Source organism: Homo sapiens, chromosome 1 (assembly GCF_000001405.40).
Source record: "Homo sapiens chromosome 1, GRCh38.p14 Primary Assembly".
Classification (NCBI taxonomy): Eukaryota; Metazoa; Chordata; class Mammalia; order Primates; family Hominidae; genus Homo; species Homo sapiens.
This window is the reverse complement of record NC_000001.11, coordinates 115,960,389-115,981,830: the sequence shown is the minus strand read 5'-3', so window position 1 is coordinate 115,981,830 and position 21,442 is coordinate 115,960,389. Positions and strand designations below refer to the sequence as shown.

Genomic DNA, 21,442 nt, shown 5'->3' with positions numbered 1-21,442 from the left:
GATAATACCTTCACTGTCAAGGCACAAGTCAAACAGCCAGGGATGGCCTTGGAAGGCATTCGGCTGGGGGTTTGGGTGCTGCAGAGGTATCAGTCTAGTTGCTTTCCATGGAATGTCCTAATTCTTGAGACATCCAGGCTCAAAGGAGCTCCTTAACCCTTCTGGAGGCCTCCTGTATCTCTACAGCCTCCCTGGAGGAAAATCTGTCTAATAGATCAACAACTTTATCTGCTTTACACTAGGGGGCAGTGTCTGTCTATGGACAACAACAGTTTTCCTGAGGGTGTGGGGGCCAGTGTGGGTTTGGTTTCTTTGACCAAACCACTGTGTTTGTCTCTTTGCCCCACCCACCTAAACTGGTGAAAGGCAAAAGTTCCCAGATCACCATAAACCCTCAGGAGACCCAACCTCCAGGCCACTGTGTGAGGGCTAATTGAAATAAAATTTGACAGTAGGAGCTGCATAAAACTTGCTCAAACTGACAGAGAGCCCTGGTAAATGGCCACATGTTTTGGACTCATGAAAGGGTCTTAGTAAGACCATAGGTTCTCATCATGGCTGAAGCCTCAGTGATGGTGAGAACATCCTGGGGATGACAGTTAGTCTTTTATAACTGAACAAGAGCTTCACTAATGCTTATGGTGTGAACTTCATCACTTGCTTATGCCAGGGAGGTTAGAAGAACCAGCTATGATCTCAGCCATATCTCATCAGACCTAAGAATTTCCTGTGGAGGGACATGGTGCCACGTATAAGCAGATAGGGAAGGTAAGCTGTGATAGCATTCTACATGAAGTTTAACAAAACAGGCTGAATAAAACTCACTCTACCCCACCCTCCTGTGTTTAAAGGACCACAATTCACAGCCATAATTGATCAAAGGAATATTGATTTTTAAAAAAGAATGAACCATTATTCTCATACAGCAAACTATAGTATTCTCTCTTAGATATGCATATCTTCTTCCCTTTACCATCTTTTCACTTAAAAATATTTAATATGGAAAAGCAAAAAATAAGATTCATGAAACTACTATCACAATTAACAAATGATAACAGATGCAATCTCCTTTGTACCCTCCCCTAAGCCCACCCCTTCCCTTCCTTCCCAAGAGGCAACCAATCTCATGAATTGGGTGTGGATCTTTCTACTCCATGTTCTTATATTTCTATACTGTTTATATATATTTATGAAACAAATATAGCATTGGTTTGTGTGTTTTTAAAATTTGTATTAAGAATATGTGTCACATAGTATACACTGTTCTGCTTTTTTTTCACTTAACATTGTGTTTTAGAAATTCCTCCATATAGTCATATATAGATCTAGTTCATTTATTTCAGACGTTGTATTCTATTAAATTTATACCACATCTTATCCAGTCTTGTTTTGAAAGTCAGGTGGTTCTAACTTTTGTTATAATAGACAGTGTTGCAGTAAACATCTTACACATATCTCCCTATGCACGTGCTCAAGGGACAATGTGGGATGTGTACCTAGGAGTTCAATGCTAGGTTTTAATTCTACTAGATGGTGCCAAATTGTTCTCTAAATGGGGTATAGTTTCTATTTATCATTTCATCACACTTGTACTGTTAGATTGTTTAATGTTTGCTAATATAGCAAGTGTGAAATGGTATTTCATATCCATTTTAATATGCCTGTCCCAGATGACCACTGAAGTTAAAACATCTTTTCGTGTGTTGACTATTACAGTTTCCTCTTCTGCAATCATTCTACTTTCTAAAATGCTGAGAAAAGCTATTTATTGCATGGATAATATTAATGCACTGGTCATTCCAGGATCTAAAAAATAAGGTTATTAAGTATATATATATACTTAATATATATATAAAAATAATGCATTCCTGAACACCAGAATCTAAGATGAGATTCATAGCACAGCATCACAATTTTGCTGGTGAATGCTTGTTATAGATTACATGTTCCTGATAGTAAATGGGGGCTTTAAATTCTGTGCAAATTATAATATAATGTACGATTCATGATTTTGAGGAAAATGACAAAGCAGGAGCCTCTGGCTTAGAACAAAGAAGTAACGTCCATTTTCATTGCATGTCTAAAGGAATCAAGAAACAATGAATTGTATTCCAACCCTCCTCCTCCAGAGAGCCTAGACAACAAGCAAACACATACACAAACACAAAATAGTGACGATGGCAGCAACTCGGAATCACCATCAGAAGAGAAACAGTAATATGCTAAATAGAATTATTCCTATTTAAATATCGCAGATAGCTCTGATCCTAGGGAGAGCAAGTACATTTTGATGGTAAGAATGTTTCTAACTGTAAAGCTTATTGTTTATTCATAAGTCAACCATTTTTACATAGGCAATCTTTTTCCCTTCACTTTTTGTTTATGTACATTAATACCACATATCACCATTTTCAGGGCATTTGCATCTTACGCTGAGGAAAAATCTGCAAAATCTGCATCTGTTCTTTAGTTATCTCAAAGTTGAATGCTATTGAGATTCCAAAAATTGTGTTTGCAAGGAGTATGAGGGCAAGTCTCCTAGCCAAAGGAAACTGGATAGTGAAGTAACTTTTGATGATCTACATGATGGTACCAATAATTCAAGAAAACAGTTAACCAAAAACCCTTTAGAATTGGCTTTGCTATGTGGTTTTGTCCTCTTAGTTTGAACATAGATGTGTTTGGGGTAAAGGGAAAATCATTTTTAAAAATAATAATAATGGTCCCAGAAGAAGGAAAATGTTAAAAGGCCTGTAAAATTTCCACCTCTGTCCTTCTGGTTTTGTGCCTCTCAGCTGGGGTTAATCATTATCAAATCGCAGATGGGGAGAAGGCTCCCACTGAAGCAGAGGCTCCCTCTCTCTGGCCTTGTTGCTGTGTTGTTGGTCTGCCCCTTCCTTGGGCAATGGTACGAAAACTCCTTTGATTTTAAAAGCAGAAAAACCCCCTTTCATTTAAGGCAACTGTGTAAAAAGGGCTTCTTACTCTGCTGGGGGAAGCAAAACCTCATCCCCAAGAATGATGAAATCACCTGTGATACAACTGAGCAATGGGACTCCACAGTACTCCCACTCCACAGACCAGCTGCCGTAATACAAAACATCTCCAACAACAGACTTGGTAGAGAGGTCTTTGGGGATATCCACTCTCATACCCAGGGTAGCTCTGGGTGGCTCTACAACCCCCTGGATCATGTATCTCAATGGGGTAACTGAGTCCTTAAAAACACGTAGCATGTGAAGGATTCACTTTTGCCTAGGCTGGCATCTCCTCCACTGGTATAAGCACAGCTACAGGGCATCTTCCCACCCACATCTATAAGATAAACAATCAGTCACTCATCCCCAACACTCTAAGACCTGGTCCTTGTACCGCAAATACTGACCATAAATCATCCAAGGTTTAGTGAACGGTCATAGGCATGGGCTTGGAACTTTTTGATAGCAAACTCTAACTAACTGGGTCAACCATAAATAAAAGTAAGTTAGAGAAACTTAACAGGTCCTAAACCGAGAACACTGGCCTTTTTAGAACCTCACTCTACTGAAGACAAACTTACTCCAAGTTAGTGGATACTTGGCTAGGCAAATAAGAAAATGATAACAGGAAGTGAAGGGTAGGGATAGAGGGATGGGGAGCTGGGATTGTTCAAGAAAGGATGTATGTTCCTGGAATTCATGGCTGGAACAGAAAAAAAGGGTTTTCTCAAAGAAACTGTTATAAATAAAGATCAGGCATCATGGTTGCAATTCTTCTTTCTCGGTATTAAATACTCTTATCATTTAGCTTGAACGTTTTTTCTCCCTGGGGAAAGCTTGTTTAAAGCTAAAACAACGAGCTTAAAAGAACTTCAGAATACCACATATTCGTGAGCTGAGAACTGTTCGGCTAGAAAAAGAACTGACTCCATCATTTGAACCGTTTCTGGCTGATGATGAAATCAACTGAACTTCCAAACATTTTAATCAATAAGTCAACCCCTACCTTCCCCCATCTTCCTGTTGAGCCACTGTCTTATGCAAGCTTTAAGCAACTTGTGGACTGGTGGCTATATCCATGACCACTCTGTACTTCCTGCAGAATAACTATCATCACATGCTAACTAAATTACTTAACTGTCTGCCTGCCCCACCCGCAGCCACTGGAATGCAAGCTCCTGAGGGCAGTCAATGATTTGTCCACCATGGCATCCCTATGTTCAGCACATCCTAGCCCGTATTAAACCTGATGACTGAAGGAAAGAGTAAAATGGCTGGCTCACAGCAAATACTAAGAAAGGATTTGTGAATGAAATGCCTCTGGCATATTGAGAGAAGCGACTAATGTCAAATGAGCCATTTAAGTTGGTGAAGGACTAATCCTTGCCTGGCGCAGTTAATCTGTAGTGACCTTTCGCATATGGAATCGATATTTTGAGGCTGGGGTGTACAAGTAGGTTCTGAGAATTCTTTATAATGAAGAAGTGATTCCATTTGATAACCACACATGGTAGATGGCACTATTCGGCTCACGGGAGTCTCAGCCCAAGGCTGGCGCAGGGCCGAATGAGCCAGCAGAACTTAAACCAGAGGGAAATAAATCCTATGCTTTGAAAGCCCCTAGAAGAGTAAGCCCCCTCAAGCCCAGGAAAAGAGGCAGAGGACACCCGGCGCAGAGGGAGGCGATCCTAGACACAACCTTTTGTCTGCAGATTATCAAGACTGTGTCCTAGATTCCAAGGTGACAGTGCCACAGGTAGGGTAACAATTCCCTTCATATTTGCAGCGTGTTATAGGCAACAGCGTAGGGCAGGTAACACAATTTTGCATCCCTCCTTAACCAGCATAGCGGCTGAGAAACCTCCCCCAACACGCTCCTTCCACCACTCAAGGTGGCGGGGTGGAGGGCCCAGCAGAACCCAAGAGGCTCTGAGGCCGGCCGGCGACCTTGACGCTGCCGGCCGGGCCCAGGCCACCGCGCGGCGCCTCGCCCCTGCCCCACCCCGACGCTCGCCACACCTCGGTGTTTGCAGAGCCTCGGCCTCGGCCCCGGCCCCGGCGGTCTGGGAGCGGACGCCTAGCCCTGCGCCGGGCGGCCCTGAAGAGGGAAATGCGGCTGCGGGGCCGCGGGGACTTACCTGCAGCAGCACGGCCAGCAGGAAGCACAAGTACATCTGGTAGATGCCCATCTCCCCCACCGCCTGGAACGCCTCCTCCACCTCCATGGCGGGCCGCGCGCAGGAACCCCGCCACCCCACCGCCCTCTCAGGCGCTGCCCTCCCGCCCAGCGCGGCAACCCCTGGGCGCCCGGCACCGGCTTGGACCCGCCGGGGCGGGGATGGAAGCGCTGGCGGCGGGGCCGGGGCGGGCCGGGCCGGGGCGGGGCGCCTGCGCGGGCGGCGGGGCTGTCAGGCTCGAGAGGTGGACGCCGGGCGGGGAGCGGGGAGCGCAGCCGGGCTACGCGGGGCGAGGGGCGAGGAGGGCGTTCGAGATCCGGGGCTGGATGCCCTGGACCCGGGCCTCTGGACTTCCTGTTTAAAAAAAAAATGGTGTTTTGGTGTACGTTTTGTTTTGAGAGGGACCGCTGTCTGCGCCTTAAAGTGAGGAAAGAGGAAGTGGGCCGGGCTGAGGGCCTGAGAAGAAACATCGGGACCGCGTCCGCGTGTGACCCAGGGCTCTGCCTACAGGGGACCCGCAGCTGGCGGGCGGCCTGGCGGCTCTCAGCAATGCCTGTCGTTTTGCCCAAACCAGTTTAATGCGGGGGCTTGGGGAGCCCTAGAGCCTTCAGAGAAAAGTGCTGTCTGTGCAGCATTTCTTTCCAGTCCTATTCTGTGCTAGCCATGGGTTAAGTACACTGGTAGGCAAGCAAATTCTTGTAAAACCGTCGGATACATTTGCTTATAGAAGTATGCACGAGGTACAAAGGAAGTGCAAAAGACGAAGGGGCAGGATGTGATGGCTGCCAAGGTATTTAAAGGATAAACGGCAGTTTGTCAGGTGGAAATTAAAAAAAAAAAGCGTGGCAGGGCCAAGGGACGCTGGACACCTGCGTTAGTCCCCTCATGCCTCCACCTCCTAACCTCATTTGCCTTTTTGTTTATTATGTGTTGTCTTTTTAACAGCTGCATAGTATTCCATTGTCTAGACCATGACTTCTAGTTTAACATTGAATAGAAATGGCGACCAGCTAGTGTCCTTGACCTGCCAGTATCCTTCTTATGCTTCCAAAATTTTCCGTTAATTGTGATGTCTGTTGCAGCGTATTGGTAGCTAGGCTTTACTGGTCAGCTGCTTTCTTTTTTTAGCAATTAAATGAATGCTCACTGTAATTGAATTTATCAGTGGGTTGGAAACTGTAAACTCTATAAACTCTTAAGATTTTTTTCTCTCTCTTACTTAAGGAAACGTTTTCTGTATAAGTACTATTAATAGTTTAAAAAGTTTCCTTCTTTGGCTGTTTCCTACGAATCCTCATTATTAATAAATGCTGAAGTTTAATAAGTGCTTTTTGCATTTATTGACATGATCCTATTGTTTTTCTTCTTGAATCTGATAATCGGGTACATTATGGTAATAGTTTTTTTGATATTGAACTTTACTGGAATAAATCCTATTAATACTTGCTCACGATATTGCTATTTATTGCCAAATTTAATTTGCTAGTGTTTTGTCTAGGGACTTTACATCTGTGACTAGCGAACTAGGCCTATAATTTTCTTTTCTTCCTGATGCTTATGTCTAGATTTGGCAGTAAGATTTTATAGTGCTTTCATAACATGAGTGTGAGTGTTTGGTAAAACTCTCCTGCAACCATCTAGACTTAGCTTGTTTTGCAGGGGGAGCCTCTTTATTACAGATTTATAGATAATGGGTAAAGATAAATAGGTGTGTATAACTAGATATATTCGTATGTCTTTGCATTTCTTCTTGAACCACTTTTTTTCTAGAAATGTTTCTATTTTATCTAGTTTAGAAATTGTTTTTGGAATAAACTAGTTCATATTGTTTTCTTGGGATTTTTAAAAATAAGGGTCTAACTGTTTATGTCCCATTTTTCATTCTGAATAGTGTTCATCTTTATTGTTCCAATCTTATCAGTCTTGCCAGAGGTTTGTCTACTTTATTATTTTTTAAAAAGTTTTGTGAATTTTTTTATTTCATTGATTATATGAATTCTTTCCTTTTTTTTTTTTTACTTTTGTTACTTTGTAATTCTTTTACTAGCCACATGACTTGAAGTTTAGCTTCTTTGCTTTTAATATTTCTTTTTGAAGAATAATTATGTGTGGCTGGGCTCAGTGGCTCACGCCTGTAATCCCAGCACTTTGGGAGGCCAAAGCTGGTGGATCACCTGAGGTTAGGAGTTCAAGTCCAGCCTGGCAAACATGGTGAAACTCCGTCTCTACTAAAAATACAAAAATTAGCCGGACGTGGTGGCACAGGCCTATAGTCCCAGCTACTCAGGAGGCTGAGGCAGGAGAATCACTTGAACCTGGGAGAAGGAGGTTGCAGTGAGCTGAGATTGTGCCATTACACTCCAACCTGGGCAACAGAGCAAGACTCTGTCTCAGAAATAAATAAATAAATAAAATAATTATATTTAAGGTTGTACTTACCTTTCTATAGGACTTTGCTCCATCCGACAAGTTTTGTCATGTGGTACTTTTGTTGTCTTTACTTTTAAATATTTCATGACATTGTCATTTCTTCTTTAACCAATGAGCTATTTTTAGTGCATTTTTTGTTTCCAATTAAAGGTTGCTATTTTTTTTACCATCTTTTTAGTGTTGTTTATAATTTATATGCTTTGTAGACAGAGATTATATTAAATCTTGGAAATTGTTTTAATTTTTTGTGACCTAATATGTGATTTTTCTCTTTTTATTCTTTTTTTTTTTTTTTTGACAGTATCTTTCTCTGTCACCCAGGCTGCAGTGCAGTGGCTTGATCACATCTCACTGCAGCCTTAATCTCCCCAGCTCAGGTGATCCTTCCACCTCAGCCTCCCAGGTAGGTAGAACTATAGGCAGACACCACCATGGCTCATTTTTATTTTTTGTAGAAATGGGGTTTTGCCATGTTGCACAAGTTGATCTCAAACTCCTGACCTCAAGTGATCCACCCGCCTCAGCCTCTCAGAGTGCTGGGATTACAGGTGTAAGTCACCATGCCCAGCCCGTAGCCTTTTTTTTTTTTCAATGTTCCACGTGTATTGAAATAACATATATTCTCCACTTGTTGTGTGCAAGATTCTCTAACTATTAATCAAACTTGTTGATCTAATTTTATTTAAGTAGTCTATATTATTACTTAATTTTTCTGTGCTGAATGTATCAGTTTTTAATATATCAAAATTTTCCAAAATTAATATCATTTTTGAGTTTATCAAGTTCTCTTTTTGTCTCTGTGTGCTCATAAAGGTACTAGTTGAATCTTTTTTATCGTGATGAAATAGCTCTTTTTAGTGCTTTTGGTCTTTTTTACTTTGTCTCATATCAATATTGTTGCATCACCTTTTCTGTTGTTTGTATTTTCCTTGTAATCTTTTTATTCTTATATAGTCTTTTTATGTTCATCCTGTAAGTTTCTTTCTGCTTAAGGCATATGTCTTAGTCTATTTTGGCTCCTATAACAAAATACCTTAGACTGGGTAATTCATAAACAACAGAAATTTATTGCTCACAGTTCTGGAGGCTGGGCAGTCTAAAATCAAGGCACCGGTAGATTTGGTGTCTGATGAAGGACTGCTTTCTGCTTCAAAGATGTCACCTTCTTGTCGCATCTTTACAGTAGGAGGACAAGAGAGCTCTCCAGAGTCTTTTATGGGAGCATTAATCCCATTCATGAGGATGGAGCCCTCATGATTTAATCACTTCTCAAGGGCCCTACTTTTTAATACTATCACATTTGGTATTAGGTTCCAACACTAATTTAGGGGGACACTGCTGTCATTTGAATGTTTCCCCTCCAAAATTCAGATGTTCTCAATGCAAGAGTATTGGGAGGTGTGCAGTGACCCTAGCCAGTGAGAAGTGAAGTGGGGACTGCTGCTAGCAAAGCAACCAGACAGGGTTTCCCTGTTGGGTTTTAGACTTACTTAGGACCTGTTACCCCTTTCTTCTTTCCTATTTCTCCCTTTTGGAATAGCAGTGTCTATCCTATGCCTGTACACTATTGTTTTGATAGCACATAACTTGTTTGATTTCACAAGTTTACAGCTGGGGAGGAATTTGCCTCAGGATGAACCATGCATTGGTTCCCATATCTCTGGACTTTAGACTTTATAAAGTTGATGCTGGAATGAGCTAAGATTTTAGGGGCTATTGACATGAAATAAATGTATTTTTGTGTGAGAAGGACATGAATTTGGGTGAGGGGGCAGGGGCAGAATGCTATGGTTTGAATATGTTTCCCTCCAGAATTCAGACATTTCCAATGCAACAGTATTGGGAAGTGTGGCCTTTGGGAAGTAAATTACTCATGAGGGTTCTGCCCTCATAAATGGGATTAGGTGCCCTTATAAAATGGCATGACAAGGGAATTTGTCCCGTTTGCCCTTCCACCTTCTGCCATGTGAGGATATAATGTTCCTCCTCTTTGGACAGTGCAGCCCTCACCAGACAACAAACCTGCTAGCACCTTAATCTTAGGCTTCCCAGCCTCTAGAACTGTAATAAACAAATTTATTTTCTTTATAAATGACCAAGTCAGTGATATTCGGTCAGAGTAGCACAGATAGACTAAGACAGACACTAACATTCAGACCATAGCAGCATGTTTATGAAAGGAGGACTTCTTTTTTCCATCCAGGTTGATAGTGTCTATCTTTTATTTATTTTATTTATTTATTTTTATTTTATTTATTTATTTATTTAATTTATTTATTTATTTATTTATTTATTTATTTATTTTTTGAGACCGAGTCTCACTCTGTCACCAGGCTGGAGTGCAGTGGCACGATCTCGGCTTACTGCAACCTCCAACTCCCTGGTTCAAGTGATTCTCCTGCCTCAGCCTCCTGAGTAGCTGGAATTACTGGCACACGCCACCACGCTCAGCTAACGTTTGTATTTTTAATAGAGACGGGGTTTCACCATGTTGGCCAGGATGGTCTCAATCTCCTGACCTCATGATCCACCTGCCTTGGCCTCCCAAAGTGCTAGGATTAGAGGCGTGAGCCACCACGCCCGGCCATCTTTGTCTTGTAATAGATGAGTTAAATCCGTTTGTATTTATTGGGAGCGGTATATCAGAAATTATTTCTACCAACTTATTTTGTTTTCTGTTTATCATCTTCTTTTTCCTTTATGGCCAACTGTTAGATTGTTAAAGCTATTTTTATACCGCCTTTCTCTCTTTTGCTTTTTTGAAGAGCTACAGATTATTATTATTTTGATAGCTATTCCTACATTTTTAACATCCACAGAACTATGCACTTTTCCACAGTGTTTATATTATATAAGATATATATCTCCTTTTCAAAGTGGATAAAAACGTACACAAGATCCCAAGGGTACTGTATCTGAGAAAACTTAGAAGGACCTAAAGATGTTGTGTTCTGGAAAACTTTGTTAGTTGACCCAAGAAGAGACGATCATGATGCCAAAAACACTGATGTAGAAGATTCATGTGAAGTTTTACTTTCATTGTTAAGCAAAATTATCCTAAACTTGGAAATAATAAGACAGCAAGAAGAGGTGGGTGTGGTTTTTTGTTTGTTTGTTTGTTTGTTTTCTTGAGATGGAGTCTCGGTCTGTCACCCAGGCTGGAGTGCAGTGGTGCCATCTTGGCTCACTGCAACCTCCGCCTCCCAGGTTCAAGCGATTCTCATGCCTCAACCTCCCAAGTAGCTGGGATTACAGGCACATGCCACCATGCCTGGCTAATTTTTTATTTTTAGTAGAGACCATGTTGACCAGGCTGGTCTCAAACTCCTGACCTCAGGTGATGCGCCTGCCTCGGCCTCCCAAAGTGCTGGGATTACAGGCGTGAGCCACTGTGCCCAGCCGTGGGTGTGTTTTTTAATGCAGTAATGGAGCATTGTTTAACAGATCTGCCCCCAGGATTATTTAATGCTGTAGGAGAATGCTCCTGCATTTGACTTTACTATTTACTCTATTAATAAGAGCTCAGGCACTGTGCAGTGAGTTGTCAACTTACAGATTTTTTTAGTATGTGGTAGAGATGTAAGTGATTATCTTCAGTTAGAAGGATAATCTATGATTTCATTACCCTGTGGGACATTAACGGGTTTTGTATCTAATCTAACAATCCTGTTCTAGCATTCTTTTTTGTGTGTAAATAATAATTTCTTCAAATGCTCTTAGAACCAGTTTATCATCCTGCTGGTTCCCTCATCAATTATTGAAGGCAATAAAAGCTTTGACATAGATTAATTCTATATTGGTAAGAGAGTCATGTTTTTAACTTTTGAGGATTTTTCTTTGACATCATGATGCATTTGAGTGAAAAAATATATAAATTAATATTTTATATGACATACAATTAACAAATTAAGTGTTAATTAGATATTAGATTAGTTCGTCTTACTCCCTAAAAATATATGTTTTTAAGTGGGTCAAAAACTCTTCTACATATTCAGTGTTTATTTACCTTGTATTGGGATCTATATGCCAGAAGTAATTGATGATTGTGAGAACAGAAAATGCAATCTGAAATGACGTCTGATGAATTGACAGAGACCAGGAAGGGGCTGGAACTTTTTCCTACAGGTGATGGGAACCACTGAAGTGTTTTAAGTCGGAGTGATGTGAGTTTTAAAAGATGATTTGGCAGCAGCGGAAAATGCATATAACACCAGTTAGACATTATTGTAATGGCCCAAACAGGACCCAATGAGGGCTTAAAACAGAACAATGATAACAGGAATGGAAAAATGAAGTCAAATTTAAGGTAAAAATCAGCAAAATTGACATTTTGCAGGTGCAAAAAAGGGAGAAATCATGAACAACTCCCATGTTTAGTCATTGTAGCCAGACTTGGGGAGTGGAGGTGCTATTAACTGAGACAGGGAACACAGAAGTTGAATTAGGTTTGTGGTGGCAGGTTGAGGAGCCTACAACAAGAACGGTGGGGCTGACAGGCATTGCTCCTTTAAATGGTCATTGCCCCTTTAAGATTCTGCCCTTCCCCCTTAACCCACCCAGGCCCCTGCTGGATTTCCTTGCCCTAATTTACAGTCAGCACCAAAGCTTCTGAGCATGCGCTCAAGGAAGAGCTGGACTAATTAAAGCTCTCCTGAGGTTCAAGGTATTGCATCTGTGGCTCTTAGCAAAGAGTTCCATTTTTGAGAGCATATTTTCTCCAGCTTACCATTTTTTCTCATTTTTCTTTTTAAATCTTTTTCCTCCATAACTTTATATTATCTGTATCTTTTTAATCACTGAAGAATAATTAACATCTAGGTTTTTTCTTTTAATAATAAAAAATTAAAATAATGTTTTCAATACAGCGTCTATCAAAGATACTGTTTGATCCATGAAAGAAAAAAAAATTATTTGGTCAGTTACATAAATCTTGGGAGCAAATATAATCAATCATGATCATGTTCCTTTTTTTTAATTACAAAACCTGTGCACCTTACTACTGTGTCGTGTCTTTTGTTTCATTGGTAATTTGGCGTCCCAGATGGCTACTGAAATTTGGTGTGTAAGATAATAGACTTTCTGGATGTCACATATTGTTAGAAATCCTTGGAAATCAGTGTTCTATCCCAGCCTAAATGCACTGCCTTTTAAAGAAAAATCTGAAGAACATTTCTCCCTCTTCATAAGCCTTCATTCATGCTGAGATAACACTTTATAGTTAGAATGTCACAGCACCATACCTTAATAAAGATATCTAAAGTACATATACCTCTGTCAACATTAAGTTGATATAAACATAGCAAATATGACGGGAAGAAACAAATAACAAGGGAGTCAGGAGATTTTGTGGGTAGATGCCTGGGAAGAAGGAGCAAAAGACAAAGGGAAGAGAAGTAAAAAGAAAATGGAGTTAGCAGTGAGGTGGACATCATCTGGTCTTCCAAACCAACAACGGTCATTCAAAAAGATTGTTAAGTGGGTGAAAAACATATTTAAAAAGATCTACATTTAATATGGAGAAATTGGCCATTTCCATGTCTCAAACCTTAGCAATAAAACAAAAGAGTATAAATAGAGTTAGGTGTAAAATTCAGGAAGTTAAGGTAGAGAGATATGAAATATGAGGAAAACTAACCGTTAATTATATTTGAATTTAGATAGTAGAGTGTATTGCTTGCTAAGAGTCCAATTTTACATGTTGTCCAAGAGGCACTAAGCTTAGATAATAGTGCATTCATTTAATTCAACAGGTTCATTCCTGAGTGCTCATATTTAATGAAAATGTCAGTGATGTTACTGTTTTTGTTGCTGTTGCTGATGCTATTTCTTACATGGAAGAGTTATATAACTAGGGAATACTGAGTGACATGATGAATTTGCTGTATTCATGGAGTCAATAAATAGAGTGATTCAGTAGAATGGATGAAAAACTTGGCCTATGCAGGCACAAATGCCTCACAGTTTCTCAGGATTAAAATATAGATGCTTATTGGAACTTCCAGAACCACTTCTATTGGTTGAGTATTGCATAAGGATGACAATGACGTATATCAAGAGTCTCAAAGCCAACTGGGCTTTTTAAATTAAAACCAGCAATTTGCATTGCTTTTATTTTTTTCCATTTTTATTTATTTTTATTTCTGTTTTTTATTTTTCCATAAGGTATTGGGGTACAAGTGATATTTGGTTACGTGAGTAAGTTCTTCAGTGGTGATTTGTGAGATTTTGGTTCACCCATCACCCAGGCAGTATACACTGCACCCCATTTGTAGTCTTCTATCCCTCGACCCCCTCCCACTCTTTCACCCCAAGTCCCTAAAGTCCATTGTATCATTCTTATGCCTTTGCATCCTCATAGCTTAGCTCCCACATGTCAGTGAAAACATATGATGTTTGGTTTTCCATTTCTGAGTTGCTTCACTTAGAATAGTAGTCTCCAATCTCATCCAGGTCACTACAAATGCCGTTAATTCATTTCTTTTTATGGCTGAGTAGTATTACATCAAATATATACACCACAATTTCTTTATTCACTCATTGATTGATGGGCATTTGCATTGGTTCCACGATTTTGCAATTGTGAATTGTGCTGCTATAAACCTGCCTGTGCAAGTATCTTTGTCGTATAATGACTCCGTTTCCACTGGGTAGATACCCAGTAGTGGGATTGCTGGATCAAATGGTAGTTCTACTTTTAGTTCTTTAAGGAATCTCCACACTGTTTTCCACATGTAGGTGGGGATGTACTAGTTTACATCCCCACTAGCAGTGTAGAAGTGTTCCCTGATCACTGCACCCACGCCAACATCTACTGTTTTTTGATTTTTTTATTATGGCCATTCTTGCAGGAGTAAGGTGGTATCACATTGCGGTTTTGATTTGCATTTCCCTGATCATTAGTGATATTGAGCATTTATTTTTTATTTTTTTTTTATTTTTTTTGAGACGGGGTCTTGATCTGCTGCTCTGTTGCCCAGGCTGGAGTGCAGTGGCGCGATCTCCGCTCACTGCAAGCTCCGCCTCCCAGGTTCACGCCATTCTCCTGCCTCAGCCTCCCGAGTAGCTGGAACTACAGGTGCCCACCACGACGCCCAGCTAATTTTTTTGCATTTTTAGTAGAGACGGGGTTTCACCATGTTAGCCAGGATGGTCTCGATCTCCTGACCTCATGATCCGCCCACCTTGGCCTCCCAAAGTGCTGGGGAGCATTTTTTCTTGTTTGTTGGGCCATTTGTTTGTCCTTATTTTGAGAATTGTCTATTCATGTCCTTAGCCCACTTTTTGATGCGATTGTGTTTTCTTACTGATTTGTTTGAGTTCATTGTAGATTCTGGATATTAGTCCTTTGTCAGATGTACAGATTGTGAAGATTTTGTCCCACTCTGTGGATTGTCTGTCTACTCTGCTGACTGTTCCTTTTGCTGTGCAAAAGCTCTTTAGTTTAATTAAGTCTCAACTATTTATCTTTGTTTTTATTGCATTTGCTTTTGGATTCTTGGTCATGAAATCCTTGCCTAAGAATGTCTAGAATGGTTTTTCCAATGTTGTCTTCTAGAATTTTTATAGTTTCAGGCATTAGATTTAAGTCCTTAATCCATCTTGAGTTGATTTTTATGTAAGGTGAGAGATGAGGATCCAGTTTCATTCCCCTACATGTGGCTAGCCAATTATCCCAGCACCATTTGTTGAAAAGGGTGTCCTTTCCCCACTTTATGATTTTGTTTGCTTTCTTGAAGACCAGTTTGCTGTAAGTATTTGGGTTTATTTCTGGGTTCTCTATCCTGTTCCATTGATCTATGTACCATTTTTATACCAGTACCATGCTGGCTTGTTGACTATGGCCCTACAGTATAGTTTGTAATCAGGTGGTGTGATGCCTCCAGATTTGTTCTTTTTGCTTAGACTTGCTTTGGGTATGTGGGCTCTTGTTTGGCTCCATATGAATTTTAGAATTGTTTTTTCTAATTTTGTGAAGAATGATGGTGGTATTTTGATGGGGATTGCAATGAATTTGTAGATTGCTTTTGGCAGTGTGGTCATTTTCACAATATTGATTCTACCTATCCATGAGCATGGGATGTGTTTACATTTGTTTGTATCATCTATGATCTCTTTCAGCAGTGTTTTGTAGTTTTCCTTGTAGAGGTTTTTTGACTCCTTGGTTAGGTATATTCCTAGGTATTTTATTTTTTTGGCAGCCCTTGAAAAAGGGGCTGAGTTCTTGATTTGATTCTCTGCTTGGTCGCTGTTGTATAGAAGAGCTACTGATTTGTGTACATTAATCTTGTATCCGGAAACATTGCTGAGTTATTTTACTAGTTCTAGGAGCTTTCTGGAGGAACCTTTAGGGTTTTCGAGGTAAATGAGCATATGGTCAGCAAACAGTGACAGTCTGACTTCCTCTTTACTGATTTGGATGCCCCTTATTTCTTTCTCTTGTCTGACTGCTCTGGCTAGGACTTCCAGTACTATGTTGTAGAGGAGTGGTGAGAGTGGGCATTGTTACCTTGTTCCAGTTCTCAGAGAAAATGCTTTCAACTTTTCCTCATTTGGTATTATGTTGGCTGTGGGCTTGTCGTAGATGGCTTTTATTACATTGAGGTATGTACCTCATATGCCAGTTTTGCCGAGAGTTTTAATCATAAAGGGATGCTGGATTTTGTCAAATGCTTTTTCTGCATCTATTGAGATGATAGTGTGATTTTTGTTTTAATTCTGTTTATGTGGTGTACCACATTTACTGACTTGCATCACTGCATCCCTGGTATGAAACCCACTCAATCGTGGTGGATTATCTTTTTGATATGTTGCTGGATTTGGTTAGCTAGTATTTTGTTAAGGATTTTAGCATCTATGTTCATCAAGGATATTGGTCTGTAGTTTTCTTTTTTGGTTTTGTCCTTTCTGGTTTTGGTATTAGGGTAACGCTAGCTTCATAGAATGAATTAGGGAGGGTTCCTTCTTTCTCTATCTTGTGGAATAGTGTCAAAAGGATTGGTACCGATTCTTCCTTGAATGTCTGGTAGAATTCTGCTGTGAATCCATCTGGTCCCAGGCACTTTTTGTTGGTAAATTTTTTTTTTTTTTTTGAGACAGAGTTTCGCTCTTGTTGCCCAGGCTAGAGTGCAATGGTACGAACTCAGCTCACTGCAACCTCCATCTCCTGGGTTCAAGCGATTCTCCTGCCTCAGCCTCCCAAGTAGCTGGGATTACAGGCATGCACCACCACACCCAGCTAAATTTGTATTTTTAGTAGAGATGGGGTTTCACCATGTTGGTCAGGGTAGTCACGAACAGTAATTTTTTAATTACCATATCAGTCTCACTGCTTGTTATTGGTCTGTTCAGAGCATCTAATTTTTCCTGATTTAAGCTAGGAGGGTTGTATTTTTCCAGGAATTTATCCATCTCTTCTAGGTTTTTTAGTTTATGTACGTAAAGGTGTTCATAGTAGCCTTGAATGATCTTTTGTATTTCAGTGGTATCAGTTATAATATCTCCTGTATCGTTTCTTAATGAGGTTGTTTGGATTTTCTTTCTTCTTTTCTTGGTTAATCTTGCTAATGGTCTATTAATTTTATTTATCTTTTCAAAGAACCAGCTTTTTGTTTCATTTACCTTTTGTATTTTTTTGTGTGTTTCAGTTTCATTTAGTTCTGCTCTGATCTTGGTTATTTTTGTTTTCTTCTGCTGGGTTTGGGTATGGTTTGTTCTTGTTTCTTTAGTTCCTTGAGGTGTGACCTTAGAATGTCAGTTAGTCTCTTTCAGTCTTTTTGATACAGGCATTTGGTGTTATGATCTTCCCTCTTAGCACCACCTTTGCTATATCCCAGAGGTTTTGATAGGTTGTGTCATTACTGTCGTTCAGTTTGAATAATTTTTTAATTTCCATCTTGATTTTGTTTTTGACCCAATGCTCATTCAGAAACAGGTTATTTAATTTCCATGTATTTGTATGGTTTCGAAGGTTCCTTTTGGAGTTGATTTCCAGTTTTATTCCACTGTGGTCTGAGAGAGTGTTTGATATAATTTCAATTTTCTTAAATGTATTGAGACTCTTATGGCCTATCATATGGTCTATCTTGGAGAAAGTTCCATGAGTTATTGAATAGAATGTGTATTCTGTGGTTGTTGGATGAAATGTTCTGTATATATCTATTAAGTCCATTTGTTCCAAGGTATCGTTTAAATCCATTGTTTCTTTGTTGACTGTCTTTCTTGATGACCTGTCAAGTGCTGTCAGTGGAGTATTGAAGTCCCCCACTATTATTTTGTTGCTGTCTATCTCATTTCTTAGGTCTATTAGTAATTGTTTTATAAATTTGGGAGCTCCAGTGATAGGCACATATATGTTTTGGATTGTGATATTTTCCTCTTGCACAAGGCCTTTTACTGTTATATAATGTCCCTCTTTGTCTCTTTTAACTGCTGTTGCTTTAAAGTTTGTTTTGTCAGATATAAGAATAGCTACCCTGCTCACATTTGGTGTCTATTTGCATGAAATGCCTTTCCCCCTGCTCTTTACTTTAAGCTAATATGAGTCCTTATGTGTTAGGTTAGTCTCCTGAAGGCAGCAGGTAGTTGGCTGGTGAGTTCTTATCCGTTCTGAGGTTCTGTATCTTTTACGTGGAGCATTTAGGCCATTTACATTCAATGTTAGTATTGAGATGTGAGGTACTGTTGCATTCATTGTGCTATTTTTTTGCCTGTGCACCTTGGATTTTTTGTTTTATGTTTTTGCCTTTTAACTTGTTTTTTGGTTTTATAGGTCCTGTGTGATTTATGCTTTAAAGAGTTTCTGTTTTGATGTGTTTCCAGGATTTGTTTCAAGATTTAGAGCTTCTTTTAGCAGTTCTTGTAGTGGTGGCTTGGTATATCGACGTCTCTCACCAATTGTTTGTCTGAGAAAGACTGTATCTTTCCTTCATATATGATGCTTAGTTTCGCTGGATACAAAATTCTTGGCTGATAATTGTTTTGTTTGAGGAGGCTGAAGATAGGTCCCCAGTCCCTTCTATCTTATAGGGTTTCTGCTGAGAAATCTGCTGTTAATCTGATAGATTTTCCTTTGTAAGTTACCTGGTGCTTCTCTTTCACCGCTCTTAAGATTCTTTACTTTGTCTTAACTTTAGATAACCTGATGACAATGTGCTTAGGCAATGAGCTGTTTGTGACGAATTTCCCAGATGTTCTTTGTGCTTCTTGTATTTGGATGTCTAGGTCTCTAGCAAGGTGAGGGAAGTTTTCCTCGATTATTCCCCCAAAATGTTTTCCAAGCTTCTAGAATTCTCTTCTTCCTCAGGAACACCAATTATTCTTAGGTTTGGTTATTTAACATAATCCCAGACTTCTTGGAAGCTTTGTTCATATTTTCTTAGTCTTTTTTATTTCTCTTTGTTGGGTTAGGTTAATTCGAAGACCTTGTCTTCGAGTTCTGAATTTCCTTCTTCTACTTGTTAATTCTATTGCTGAGACTTTCCAGAGCATTTTGCATTTCTATAAGTGTCTCCAATGTTTCCTGAATTTCTTATTGTTTTTTCTTTAAGCTATTTCTTTCCTTGAATATTTTTCCCTTCACTTCTTGTATCATTTTTCGGATTTCCTTGCATTGGGCTTTGTCTTTCCCTGGTGCCTCCCTAATTAGCTTAATAACTAACCTCCTGAATTCTTTTTCAGGTAAATCAAGGATTTCTTCTTGGTTTCGATTCATTGCTGGTGAACTAGTATGATTTTTGGGGGGTGTTAAAGAGCCTTGTAACCAGAGGTGGTTTTCTGGTTCCTTCTCATTTGGGTAGGCTCTGTCAGAGGGAAGGTCTAGGGCTGAAGGCTGTTGTTCAGATTCTTTTGTCCCACAATATGTTCCCTTGATGTAGTACTCTCCCCTTTTTCCTGTGGATGTAGCTTCCTGTGAGCCAAACTGCAGTGATAGTTGTCTCTCTTCTGGGTCTAGCCACTCAGCGAGTCCACCTGGCTCCGGGCTGGTACTGGGGGTTGTCTGCACAGAGTCCTGTGATGTAAACTGTCTCTGCGTCTCTCAGCCGTGGATACCAGCACCTGTTCCAGTGGAGGTGGCAGGGGAGTGCAATGGACTCCGTGAGGGTTCTTAGCTTTGCTGGTTTAATGCTCTATTTTTGTGCTGGTTGGCCTCCTGCCAAGAGATGGTGCTTTCCAGAGAGCATCAGCTATGGTAGTACGGAGAGGAACCGATGGTGGGTGGGGCCCTAGATCTCCCAAGATTATATGCCCTTTGTCTTCAGCTACCAGGGTGGGTAGGGGAGGACCATCAGGTTGGGTCAGGGCTAGGCCTGTCTGAGTTCAGACTCTCCTTGAGGGGGTCTTGCTGTGGCTGAGTATTTGGGGTGTCTCCTGGGTCCTACAGGAGCAGTCAGATTCCTTCAGAGGGTCTGTGGGTCCTCTTGGGATTGCTGGCTTGTTCTTGCAGTCAATCTGGAGCTAAAATTCACAATGCAAGCCTCCGCACACTGTCTGTCCATCTGAATCATCTAGTTCTGCCTCCCGTCTGGTCTGCCATAATGATCTCTCTCCCTCTCCATTGCTTTTAGAAAATAGGAAACCAAAGTAGATTACAGGGAATCAAATTTGATACACTTAATCTACTCAGGCTCAGAAAGGAGAGGTCACAAATCCTAAACCATTCTGAAAATCATCAGTATTAGAATGCATTCAACACATGGTTGCTGAGGACCTGCTTTGTACTGAGCACTGTTGTAGAGATAATACAGTGTTTAAACCAGACAAAAATTCTAGCTTGTGGAGCTTGCATTCCAGTGAAGACTTTTCCTTCTTGGCAGCAGTTCCAGATGGGATGGGTGGGGTGATGGCAAGGAGAAAGAGAATGAAGTTGTAGATTGTGGAAATTGCACCCTTGCTCTATTTTGTGATCATGAAATAAAAACATAAGCAATGTGATGTCCAGGCCTTATGACTCATGCCTGTAATCTCAACACTTTGGGAGGCCAAGATGGAAGGATTATTTGAGTCCAGGCATTCAAGACTAGCCTGGGCAACATAATGAGACCTCATCTGTACAAAATATTTTTAAAAATTAGCTGGCACGGTGGCATGCACCTGTAATCCCAGCTACTTGGGAGGCTGAGGTGGGAGGATCTCTAGAGCCAGGGAGGTCAACATTGCAGTGAGCCCTGACCACACCACTGCACTCCAGCCTGAGCCACAAAGCAAAAATAATAAATAATAATGAACAAAATAATAAAATAATAAACAAAATAATGAAATAATAAACAAAAAAAATCCATAGCAATGTGAACCAAATAGATTATAAAGGAGGATGATATCCATTAAGTCTTCTTCATTCTCATGGCTCTTGTCCCTGTGTTTATTTGCCTTAAGAATGTAGCCAAATCTTATCTCCGTCTAGTGAAAATCACTTGATAGAAAGTTACATTAATGCACAAATTCACAAAGAGAATTTGCATGATTTTCAGAACCAAATTAATCCCTAATTACTGGCATACAGCTATTTGAGCCAAAAGATCATATTGCATTTTAAACAATATAAACTCATCCTTTATCAGTCTTCATTTGCATAAGAAGCATCTTATTCTCAGTCAAACAGAGCAAATCAAATCCTGAAAGTTATTTGTTCCAGCACAAGACTTTGAATATTCTGTTTCCTTTTCTACTCCTACAGTTAATCTGCCAGAGCCAAGATTATTCCTTCACCCTTTTTTAGTCCCTGAACCTTTTGCAAAGCTAATGAAAGTTATAGGATTTCTCAGAAATATGAGGGTACAGGAAAATGTGCACTCATACACAAACATATTTTGAATGCCGCTTTTTAAAAAATCAAGTCCAACCCCTATGTGATCAAAATGA

At 40.1% G+C, this 21,442-nt stretch overlaps 1 protein-coding gene and 1 long non-coding RNA gene across 21 annotated transcripts in view, besides 2 other annotated features; one reads left to right on the top strand and one right to left on the bottom strand.

Annotated features, from left to right (window-relative positions):
• SLC22A15 (solute carrier family 22 member 15) overlaps positions 1-5,318 on the bottom strand; it is a 93,542-nt gene extending 88,224 nt beyond the window's left edge. For all 20 annotated transcript variants that reach the window (XR_002957027.2, XR_002957032.2, XR_007061934.1 and 17 more), the window contains exon 1: positions 5,117-5,318. Coding sequence is in view for 11 of the 20 variants with exons in the window: in NM_018420.3 (NP_060890.2) it covers positions 5,117-5,203 (87 nt within the window). In the remaining 9 variants the exon portion in view is untranslated. The remainder of the gene's footprint in view (positions 1-5,116) is intronic.
• Positions 4,555-21,442, top strand: part of LOC101928977 (uncharacterized) — a 54,704-nt gene continuing 37,816 nt past the window's right edge. Inside the window, exon 1 of the long non-coding RNA NR_125970.1 lies at positions 4,555-4,734. This is a non-coding gene — a long non-coding RNA (uncharacterized LOC101928977). The remainder of the gene's footprint in view (positions 4,735-21,442) is intronic.
• Positions 4,932-5,181: a silencer, noted in NCBI's record as "silent region_1225". NCBI's record gives its function as "represses an Ori minimal core promoter by ATAC-STARR-seq in GM12878 lymphoblastoid cells {active_cell/tissue: GM12878}" and the evidence as "EXISTENCE:reporter gene assay evidence [ECO:0000049][PMID:35858748]".
• Positions 5,242-5,471: a silencer, noted in NCBI's record as "silent region_1224". NCBI's record gives its function as "represses an Ori minimal core promoter by ATAC-STARR-seq in GM12878 lymphoblastoid cells {active_cell/tissue: GM12878}" and the evidence as "EXISTENCE:reporter gene assay evidence [ECO:0000049][PMID:35858748]".